Source organism: Homo sapiens, chromosome 4 (genome assembly GCF_000001405.40).
Source record: "Homo sapiens chromosome 4, GRCh38.p14 Primary Assembly".
NCBI lineage: Eukaryota > Metazoa > Chordata > Mammalia > Primates > Hominidae > Homo > Homo sapiens.
In genome coordinates this window covers 119,266,865-119,279,026 of record NC_000004.12, presented here as the reverse complement: position 1 = coordinate 119,279,026, position 12,162 = coordinate 119,266,865, and the positions used below count along the sequence as shown (strand labels likewise).

Sequence of the window (12,162 nt, the reverse complement as noted above, 5' to 3'; positions counted from 1 at the left end):
GTTGAAAACTTTGAAAAAAGTTTAGAAGAATGTATAACTAGAATAACCAATACAGAGAAGTGCTTAAAGGAGCTGATGGAGCTGAAAACCAAGGCTCGAGAACTACGTGAAGAATGCAGAAGCCTCAGGAGCCGATGTGATCAACTGGAAGAAAGGGTATCAGCAATGGAAGATGAAATGAATGAAATGAAGCGAGAAGGGAAGGTTAGAGAAAAAAGAATAAAAAGAAATGAGCAAAGCCTCCAAGAAATATGGGACTATGTGAAAAGACCAAATCTACGTCTAATTGGTGTACCTGAAAGTGATGGGGAGAATGGAACCAAGTTGGAAAACACTCTGCAGGATATTATCCAGGAGAACTTCCCCAATCTAGCAAGGCAGGCCAACGTTCAGATTCAGGAAATACAGAGAACGCCACAAAGATACTCCTCAAGAAGAGCAACTCCAAGACACATAATTGTCAGATTCACCAAAGTTGAAATGAAGGAAAAAATGTTAAGGGCAGCCAGAGAGAAAGGTCGGGTTACTCTCAAAGGGAAGCCCATCAGACTAACAGTGGATCTCTCGGCAGAAACCCTACAAGCCAGAAGAGAGTGGGGGCCAATATTCAACATTCTTAAAGAAAAGAATTTTCAACCCAGAATTTCATATCCAGCCAAACTAAGCTTCATAAGTGAAGGAGAAATAAAATACTTCACAGACAAGCAAATGCTGACCGATTTTGTCACCACTAGGCCTGCCCTAAAAGAGCTCCTGAAGGAAGCGCTAAACATGGAAAGGAACAACCGGTACCAGCCGCTGCAAAATCATGCCAAAATGTAAAGACCATCGAGACTAGGAAGAAACTGCATCAACTAACGAGCAAAATCACCAGCTAACATCATAATGACAGGATCAAATTCACACATAACAATAGTAACTTTAAATGTAAATGGACTAAATTCTCCAATTAAAAGACACAGACTGGCAAATTGGATAAAGAGTCAAGACCCATCAGTGTGCTGTATTCAGGAAACCCATCTCACGTGCAGAGACACACATAGGCTCAAAATAAAAGGATGGAGGAAGATCTACCAAGCCAATGGAAAACAAAAAAAGGCAGGGGTTGCAATCCTAGTCTCTGATAAAACAGACTTTAAACCAACAAAGATCAAAAGAGACAAAGAAGGCCATTACATAATGGTAAAGGGATAAATTCAACAAGAAGAGCTAACTATCCTAAATATATATGCACCCAATACAGGAGCACCCAGATTCATAAAGCAAGTCCTGAGTGACCTACAAAGAGACTTAGACTCCCACACATTAATAATGGGAGACTTTAACCCCCCACTGTCAACATTAGACAGATCAACGAGACAGAAAGTCAACCAGGATACCCAGGAATTGAACTCAGCTCTGCACCAAGCAGACCTAATAGACATCTACAGAACTCTCCACCCCAAATCAACAGAATATACATTTTTTTCAGCACCACACCACACCTATTCCAAAATTGACCACATAGTTGGAAGTAAAGCTCTCCTCAGCAAATGTAAAAGAACAGAAATTATAACAAACTATCTCTCAGACCACAGTGCAATCAAACTAGAACTCAGGATTAAGAATCTCACTCAAAGCCGCTCAACTACATGGAAACTGAACAACCTGCTCCTGAATGACTACTGGGTACATAACGAAATGAAGGCAGAAATAAAGATGTTCTTTGAAACCAACGAGAACAAAGACACAACATACCAGAATCTCTGGGACGCATTCAAAGCAGTGTGTAGAGGGAAATTTATAGCACTAAATGCCCACAAGAGAAAGCAGGAAAGATCCAAAATTGACACCCTAACATCACAATTAAAAGAACTAGAAAAGCAAGAGCAAACACATTCAAAAGCTAGCAGAAGGCAAGAAATAACTAAAATCAGAGCAGAACTGAAGGAAATAGAGACACAAAAAAACCTTCAAAAAATCAATGAATCCAGGAGCTGGTTTTTTGAAAGGATCAACAAAATTGATAGACCACTAGCAAGACTAATAAAGAAAAAAAGAGAGAAGAATCAAATAGACACAATAAAAAATGATAAAGGGGATATCACCACCGATCCCACAGAAATACAAACTACCATCAGAGAATACTACAAACACCTCTACGCAAATAAACTAGAAAATCTAGAAGAAATGGATAAATTCCTCAACACATACACTCTCCCAAGACTAAACCAGGAAGAAGTTGAATCTCTGAATAGACCAATAACAGGAGCTGAAATTGTGGCAATAATCGATAGTTTACCAACCAAAAAGAGTCCAGGACCAGATGGATTCACAGCTGAATTCTACCAGAGGTACAAGGAGGAACTGGTACCATTCCTTCTGAAACTATTCCAATCAATAGAAAAAGAGGGAATCCTCCCTAACTCATTTTATGAGGCCAGCATCATTCTGATACCAAAGCCGGGCAGAGACACAACCAAAAAAGAGAATTTTAGACCAATATCCTTGATGAACATTGATGCTAAAATCCTCAATAAAATACTGGCAAAACAAATCCAGCAGCACATCAAAAAGCTTATCCACCATGATCAAGTGGGCTTCATCCCTGGGATGCAAGGCTGGTTCAATACACGCAAATCAATAAATGTAATCCAGCATATAAACAGAGCCAAAGACAAAAACCACATGATTATCTCAATAGATGCAGAAAAAGCCTTTGACAAAATTCAACAATGCTTCATGCTAAAAACTCTCAATAAATTAGGTATTGATGGGACGTATTTCAAAATAATAAGAGCTATCTATGACAAACCCACAGCCAATATCATACTGAATGGGCAAAAACTGGAAGCATTCCCTTTGAAAACTGGCACAAGACAGGGATGCCCTCTCTCACCACTCCTATTCAACATAGTGTTGGAAGTTCTGGCCAGGACAATTAGGCAGGAGAAGGAAATAAAGGGTATTCAATTAGGAAACGAGGAAGTCAAATTGTCCCTGTTTGCAGACGACATGATTGTATATCTAGAAAACCCCATTGTCTCAGCCCAAAATCTCCTTAAGCTGATAAGCAACTTCAGCAAAGTCTCAGGATACAAAATCAATGTACAAAAATCACAAGCATTCTTATACACCAACAACAGACAAACAGAGAGCCAAATCGTGAGTGAACTCCCATTCACAACTGCTTCAAAGAGAATAAAATACCTAGGAATCCAACTTACAAGGGATGTGAAGGACCTCTTCAAGAAGAACTACAAACCGCTGCTCAAGGAAATAAAAGAGGATACAAACAAATGAAAGAACATTCCATGCTCATGGGTAGGAAGAATCAATATCGTGAAAATGGCCATACTGCCCAAGGTAATTTACAGATTCAATGCTATCCCCATCAAGCTACCAATGACTTTCTTCACAGAATTGGAAAAAACTACTTGAAAGTTCATATGGAACCAAAAAAGAGCCCGCATCGCCAAGTCAATCCTAAGCCAAAAGAACAAAGCTGGAGGCATCACACTACCTGACTTCAAACTATACTACAAGGCTACAGTAACCAAAACAGCATGGTACTGGTACCAAAACAGAGATATAGATCAATGGAACAGAACAGAGCCCTCAGAAATAACGCCACATATCTAGAACTATCTGATCTTTGACAAACCTGAGAAAAACAAGCAATGGGGAAAGGATTCCCTATTTAACAAATGGTGCTGGGAAAACTGGCTAGCCATATGGAGAAAGCTGAAACTGGATCCCTTCCTTACACCTTATACAAAAATCAATTCAAGATGGATTAAAGATTTAAACGTTAGACCTAAAACCATAAAAACCCTAGAAGAAAACCTAGGCATTACCATTCAGGACATAGGCATGGGCAAGGACTTCATGTCCAAAACACCAAAAGCAATGGCAACAAAAGCCAAAATTGACAAATGGGATCTAATTAAACTAAAGAGCTTCTGCACAGCAAAAGAAACTACCATCAGAGTGAACAGGCAACCTACAAAATGGGAGAAAATTTTCGCAACCTACTCATCTGACAAAGGGCTAATATCCAGAATCTACAATGAACTCAAACAAATTTACAAGAAAAAAACAAACAACCCCATCAAAAAGTGGGCAAAGGACATGAACAGACACTTCTCAAAAGAAGACATTTATGCAGCCAAAAAACACATGAAAAAATGCTCATCATCACTGGCCATCAGAGAAATGCAAATCAAAACCACAATGAGATACCATCTCACACCAGTTAGAATGGTGATCATTAAAAAGTCAGGAAACAACAGGTGCTGGAGAGGATGTGGAGAAATAGGAACACTTTTACACTGTTGGTGGGACTGTAAACTAGTTCAACCCTTGTGGAAGTCAGTGTGGCGATTCCTCAGGGATCTAGAACTAGAAATACCATTTGACCCAGCCATCCCATTACTGGGTATATACCCAAATGACTATAAATCATGCTGCTATAAAGACACATGTACACGTATGTTTATTGCGGCATTATTCACAATAGCAAAGACTTGGAACCAACCCAATGTCCAACAATGATAGACTGGATTAAGAAAATGTGGCACATATACACCATGGAATACTATGCAGCCATAAAAAATGATGAGTTCGTGTCCTTTGTAGGGACATGGATGAAATTGGAAATCATCATTCTCAGTAAACTATCTCAAGAACAGAAAACCAAACACGGCATATTCTCACTCATAGGTGGGAATTGAACAATGAGATCACATGGACACAGGAAAGGGAATATCACACTCTGGGGACTGCGGTGGGGTGGGGGGAGGGGGGAGGGATAGCACTGGGAGATATACCTAATGCTAGATGACGAGTTAGTGGTGCAGCGCACCAGCATGGCACATGTATACATATGTAACTAACCTGCACAATGTGCACATGTACCCTAAAACTTAAAGTATAATAAAAAAATAAATAAATAAATAAAAAATAATAATAAAAAAATAAAACAAGAGGACCAAGAAAAAAAAAAAAGGCTGCAAACTTCAAAAGCAATAGTTATCCAATCAAATAAAAAGTAAGATACAAAACCATTATTAACACTTTGTGAAGTCAATGTGGAAAGTATAGCATGCTTTCTTTTGTATGACAATACAATACAAAAAAGAATGCTGATTTCCTTCTTTCCACATGTACTTCATTAAAACATATATTAACTTAATAAAACTTGTTTATTGATATTTTAGGGTTATTTAAAAATAATTTTTATAGTCATATAGGATTTTCTCTCAGATACATAATAGCAAACAATAAATTACTATAATTCATTTTTTACAGCAACTATTATATTCAAATAAGTTTTTTACCTTCTAAGTGATGTTGGCTCTGAAGGGAGGTACAGTCCCCACGTTCTTTATTTAGGTTGCTTGTCGTAATCTGGTCACTAGAAAATAAAATACACACTAAACACATCAGGTATTATGGACTGCCTTTGTTTAGTCTAAAAAAAAACAACATTTGTTAAACATTTATTATATGCCATGTGCTGTTCTAGGGCTTAATGTACATTATTTAATACTTAAAAGTAGTTGTTATCTTCATTTTACAGAAGATAAAGACTGTAAAAGTCAAATTAATTTGCCCAATAATTAAAATCTAAGTCTATCTGGTTATAAAGTCCTGATCTTTCTACTACCCTAGGCTACTCCATTCCAAGAAGAATTATAAAATTACCTTGTCAAGTCTTTTTTTTTTTTTTTGAGCCAGGACCTTTTGCTCTTTTGCCCAGGATGGAGTGCAGTGGTACAAACATGGTTCACTGCAGCCTCGACCTCCTGGGCTCAAAAATCCTCCCACCTCAGCCTCCCAAGTAGCTGGGACCACAGGCATATGCCACAATACCTGGCTAATATTTTAAAACTGTTTCCTAGAGATGATGAGATCTTTCCATGTTGCTCAGGCTAGTATTGAACTCCTGGGCTCAAGCAATCCTCCTGCCTCAGCCTCCCAAGGTGCTGTGATTACAGGTGTGTAAACACTACACCTGGCCCTTTCCTTAAGTCTTTATTGAAACAAGCATTTTCATAAAACATGAGCAGTTGATTTTTGCAAATCTACCTTTTAATAACAAATGTGGTCAAATATCAGCTAATATCAAACAAACACATTGTTAGAAGGATTAAACAGTAATATAATAAATGTATTTAGAATTAATCGAACACAAAGTTATTTGGCTGATTTTTTTTATATTTGCTAAAGGGAAAATATCTCTTCCATGAGAATGAGTGTGACAGTAAAAACTAGCTTCAGTTCTGAGTTACAAATGTTAGAGATGGGATTATAAACATTATATAGATTGAAGAATTAAACAACAGCCTGGGCATAGTGGCTCAGGCCTGTAATCCCAGCACTTTGGGAGGCCAAGGCAGGTGGATCACCTGAGGTTGGGAGTTCAAGAGTAGCCTGGGGAAACCCCGTCTCTAAAAATACAAAAATTAGCCAGGCGTGGTGGTGCGTGTCTGTAGTCCCAGCTACTTGGGAAGTTAAGGCAGGAGAATCGCTTGAACCTGGGAGGCGGAGGTTGCAGTGACCCGTAATTGCGCCACTGCACTCCAGCCTGGGCAACAGAGTGAGACTCCTTCCCCTCCCACCAAAAAAAGAAGAATTAAACAACCACCTTAATGACTTAGATGATACCAATTGAAGTCTGTGCTTTAAAACCAATCAATTGTTGACAGTGACACAACAATGATAATAAACTTCTGTACTTTCCAAATTTTCTAAAAATAAAAAGCTGCTATTTTTGGAATCAGGAAATAACTATTCAAAATGGAAATCTAAAATATCAAATAAACTACAATATCCTAGGTTTCTTTACAGAAACATACTTGTGTTTAAAAGAAACAAACTTTTTAAAGCTCTTTAAAACAGCTCATGCTGTTTCTGTTCTATTTAATTGACCCCAAACTTCAAAAATTACTTCATGCAATTAACAAAAAAGAAGAGTGATGGAAAAATGATTCACTCAACTTTTACATTACCTGAAGCATACTGTTTCTTTAACACCACTGATATCCATTACTGTACCATTTCCATCGATAACAGGTGAGTCCAAATTAGTAGAACCATTACTGATGTGATCACTGCTTTCATATCCAGACTCAGTCCTTTGCATCTGCCAATTATCACCATGCACTTTACCCTCTACAAGGCCTTTATTTTTCTCTGCTCCTTTTCCATTAGATTCAAGGGAACTTCTGCTTCCTATTTCCTGCTTCATTTCATCTTCATATATGGTCATTAAACCTTTTTGCTTTGGATTCTCTTTTGGCCAATTACTAAAACTCGGATCCTTGCTAGATTTAGGCTTATTACTGATATTTGGTTTATGTCTTGGACTATGCTGTCTTTTTTCACTTTCACTAAAAATACTATCAACATTTAATGTTTCTCTCATAGGTTTCCAACCTCGGTTCCGGCTTTTACTGCTGCTATCACAGCTGTTTCCTCTATCCCTAGAATCTTGGCTGCTGTCTGTGTCATATCCAGTGCCATTGTCACTCTTAACTTTGCCAGTTATTTTCTCTCCTGGAGCAAGAATCTGGGATTTACTTGAACTTATTATTTGTGCAGAAGCTCGACTCTGAGGTACAACTCGGTCATGTTTATATGATCCTTTTCCTTGACTATGATATAGATGTGGATTCCCATGTTGTTTAAAACCATTTGGGGCAGGAGGTGATCCAGATTGGAAATGTGAAAGGTCTTCATCAACCAAATCTTAAAAAAAAAAATTAAAGATACACATGAATTACTCCTCAGAGCCACCTTGTAGTCACAAGGCAAATACCTGTTAGAGATAAAATGTTAAAGAGTTTTAGGTAAATAGTAATTACAAGTACATATCACATACTGCTTTGAGATTAAAAAGTGATTTTCCAGTCCTTGTGTATGCTTAATGAGGGGTATTTGTAAAAGAAACTTCAAAAAATGATCTCTAAGGTAGATCATAATTGAGGCAGTTTTTAAAAAAATAAGCACTCTATCTCACTCATAACAAAAATCATAAAAATATTTTCCACTTCTTATATTGGTAAAGATTTAAAAGTTTGTTAAACCAATTGTTGCTGAGAGTGTGAACAAACAGACATCCAATCATTGTTGGTGGGAGTGCAGACTAGTTCAGTCTTTCAAGAGGGCAACTGAGCCACATCTGTCAAAATTAAAAGTAAACATATCCTGACCCAGAAATTCCTCTGAAGGAATTTTATGCTATGGCTCTAGGCAAAAACGTATAAAGGTATGTGTGAAAAAAGATGTTGCTGAAGCAAAAATCTTAAATCAGCCTGTAAAGTCTATCACTATCAGTTAAATTATGCTCTGTCCATAAAGAAAAAAGCATAGAACCATAAAGAGACATGCTTATAATGTGGAAATGGAAATACTAAGTAAAGAGGGGGAAGGTCAGGGATTGCCAGAAAAGGAGTCCCTTCACTTAATTTTATAAACTTCCTTATTACTTGAATGTGCCATGAGTGAATTATATCTGTAAGTAAGTTAAAACATCGAAACACATATATACAAGTATCCCAGGTTAGAATTAAGAACAAACCAGGATATTTTGCATATTTAGATTTAGTATAGGTGTATTAAAGAACTCATATTAATAAATATATAAAATATAATAGGTCTGGGTACCCCTGTAATCCCAGCACTTTGGGAGGCTGAGGTAAGAGGATCGTTTGAGGCCAGCAGTTCAAGACCACTCTGAGCAACATGGCAAGACCCTATCTCTACAAATAACTTTTTAAAATTTAGCCAGGTGTGGTGGCATGTGCCTGTAGTCCTAGCTACTCAGGAGGCTAAGACGTGAGGAGAGCTTGAACCCAGGAGTTCAAGACTGCAGAGAGCTATGATTGTGTCACTGCACTCTAGGCTGGACAAGAGTGAACTCTCACCTCTTCAAAATAAAGTTATTAAAAATAACTTTAATATAATTTAATTTCTATATATAAACTATATAAATTATATATAATTTATATATTTATACATATACAGAAATATATGTAATTTATATATTTCTATATTAGATATAGGTATATATATTTAACTTATATATTTATGTATTTTTAATATATATTATTTAACATATACAGAAATTAAAGTTATAAAATTCAGTTTTAAAATAAGATTTTTAGAAGTTCCTTTTAAAATCAATAGTACAAGATCTTAACTTACCTCTATGTCGTCCTAAATCTTTTCTTTGTCCCTTCTCTAAATCTTTCCTTTGTGAAGAAAGTAAGTTTTTCTGTTCAATAGCTTTCAGAGCACATTCTCTGGAAATGTCTTTTATCTTTTCCCTTTGATCAATGTGACTTAACTTAGCTGTAAAAGAAATCATTCTTACTATGATACAGATCATTTTTCAAATTGCCCAATAAAAATAAAAATTGATCTATATAAAAATGTTAAGATATATTTAAAAAGAGCATAGATATGTAGATATATAGTATACAATGGTATTTTTATGATTAAAAACTAGATGTGATTTTTCTTGACACTGGAGATGCATGTTGTATTTTAAAACTCCTTGTATAGCCCCTAAAACAAGTATAAAAAAAGAAAGAGATCTGCCATTAAAATAATAAGAGCTAAAGGTAACTGAATGGTCACTATTTGCCAGTTGTCTTACTCATTTACTTCTTTGAGGTACAATTACTGTCTCTATTTTGGGTAAGGAAACTGAGGCAGAGAGAAATTAGAAATTTGCCCAAGTTCACAAAGTTTGTAAGTCTAGAACCAGGAATATGAACCCAAGTTGTCTTGTTCCAATGCTTCTATTCTTACACACATATATACTATTTCTGGGCTTAAAACTAGGTGTCTTTTGAAAAACATAAAATGTCTGAATCTAAGAGTATCAATAATCTGTGAAAGGAAAAGAGATACAGCTTCATTAAGAATTTTTAAAAAGCCTTTATTTTAGTTTTTTGTGGATAACTGTTAATTCTCAATCTTACTACCCTTGATTAAATGAGTTACTTTTATGATTACACATTATTTCATTAATATGTTTAAAGGTTGCTAACAAAATCATCCTGAACATCCACACAAGAGTTAGATGTATTTCTAAACTGTAATGGTACACAGTATTGTGAGGTTTCATTCTGGACCCAAGTTACAGAACCTGGCTTGTAAAAATTAGTTATGGGATAACAGTAACAAGACAGAGTTGAATAAAAACGAGGTTAAGAACAAACTACAGCAATAGTAACTTTGAACTGCTGTTGCATTCACTACCAGTAAATTTAATTTTGGCATTTATGCCAAATTACTAACTCATGTTTTTCTGCTCCAAGCTGATAATTAACTCCTTGAATGAAATGCCACATTATTGCTTTATTTGGTAACTGTCCAGATTGCCTCAGGCCTACCACAGTCTGAGTGCATGAAGAAACTCAAACAACTCATGGAATCAAACTGGTCAGGTAAAACTACAGCTCTCAGAGAAATGCATAAATCAAAAGACGAATTTTGTTATCTATTTGTTATTATCTTTTCACAGCCAAGGAAAGCTAGGTAAGCATCCTCCGATAAGTGAAGAAAGGAGGACACTCACTTGGAACTATGTAAAAATGACAATTTAAACACATACCTGGTCCTTTCCCTACACCTGTGTGACTGTGGCTCCGATTAGATGATGAAATATTATCAGTTGGAAATTTCTGATTTTCTCTCTGCTTTGCCTGATCACCAAATCCATTTTCTTTTAAATTATCTGACTTATGAATTACAGGCTTTTCACATCCTTAAAAAGAGAAGCAAAAATGTATCATTCCTTTCCTTCCCATGAGAAGAGATGTTTGAATCATTTTTTTCAGATTTTTTTTTTTTTTTTTTTTGAGACGGAGTCTCGCTCTGTCGCCCAGGCCGGACTGCGGACTGCAGTGGCGCAATCTCGGCTCACTGCAAGCTCCGCCTCCCGGGTTCACGCCATTCTGCTGCCTCAGCCTCCCGAGTAGCTGGGACTACAGGCGCCCGCCACCGCGCCCGGCCAATTTTTTGTATTTTTAGTAGAGACGGGGTTTCACCTTGTTAGCCAGGATGGTCTCGATCTCCTGACCTCATGATCCACCCGCCTCGGCCTCCCAAAGCATTGGGATTACAGGCGTGAGCCACCGCGCCCGGCCCAGATTATTTTTAACTGTAAAAAAAGTTACTTAAAACTTAAGCGGATTGACATCATTTAAGAATTTTGAATTGCTTTATAATGCATCCAAAAATGACCTAGCTGTTTCGGACTTTTCCAGTTTACTAAATCACTTAAAATGTACTTCTAGAAAGAGCTACTAATGAAGCCTCTTCTGTGATTGTGTGACCATAATAGTGGGTAACTCCTGAAGGTGCTTCTGAGGCCACCGATGAGAAAAGGTTCATTCCAAAATACTAACAAAAATTACTAAAATTTCCTCAGCTCTACTGAAAGTCAAATTTGAAATTATCCTCTATATTCATTTTATATTCAGAGTACTAGTATTCCTAGTTGACTGTGATAATAGAAAAACATTGAGAATTTTTAAAAGAAAGAATTACCCATATTTTCTGCAACAGATTTGTAATGTGACCAGCTGATGACCTGCCTGAGTGCATCCTCAGTAGAAACTGCTGTGCCATCTGGGTTTGCATAAAACAAAAGTAGTGGCTGAAAGTGGCATCGAATGCATTTGGAGACAACATCTTTCCATCTAGTTCCAATCTTTTAAAAAAACACAATGAATAAAGACAAAACAAAACCTTGTAATCAATGTGTTACATGAAAAGACAGACTCTGAGTTACTTTATATTTTTAAAAAATTTAGATATGCAGCTGCTAGTAGTTCAAGTATGTATCATATAATTAACTGTATTTAGTAACTAGTCTAAATAAAAATATTTTAAACATTATCTTTTAAAAATTTGACGGGCAAAGATTATAAACTTCAAGGTGATTAAATTTTAAAAAGCTTTCCAAATATGTGGTTGACTGACATTTGACAAAGACTTCAAGACAATTCAATGGAGAAATATAAGAGTCAGCTCAACAAATGGTGCTACAACTGGAGAAAAAGAACTTTTACCATGAGAAAAATAACTTTAACCTGACTTCATATAAAACAACAACAAAAAAATGAACTCAGAATGGCTCACACAAAAACTAAAACTTACAGAAGA

At 36.4% G+C, this 12,162-nt stretch overlaps 1 protein-coding gene across 33 annotated transcripts in view; it reads right to left on the bottom strand.

Moving 5' to 3' along the window:
- Positions 1-12,162, bottom strand: part of USP53 (ubiquitin specific peptidase 53) — an 82,918-nt gene that overhangs the window by 16,492 nt on the left and 54,264 nt on the right. For 26 of the 33 annotated variants that reach the window (XM_017008313.2, XM_047415829.1, XM_047415828.1 and 23 more), the window contains 5 exons: positions 11,545-11,707; positions 10,607-10,759; positions 9,190-9,336; positions 6,993-7,731; positions 5,319-5,395 (listed from right to left, as the gene is read on the bottom strand). In XM_017008313.2, coding sequence (XP_016863802.1) covers positions 5,319-5,395; positions 6,993-7,731; positions 9,190-9,336; positions 10,607-10,759; positions 11,545-11,707 — 1,279 coding nt within the window. The remainder of the gene's footprint in view (positions 1-5,318; positions 5,396-6,992; positions 7,732-9,189; positions 9,337-10,606; positions 10,760-11,544; positions 11,708-12,162) is intronic. The other 7 variants (XM_047415837.1, XM_047415832.1, NM_001389661.1 and 4 more) reach the window with 1 other exon arrangement.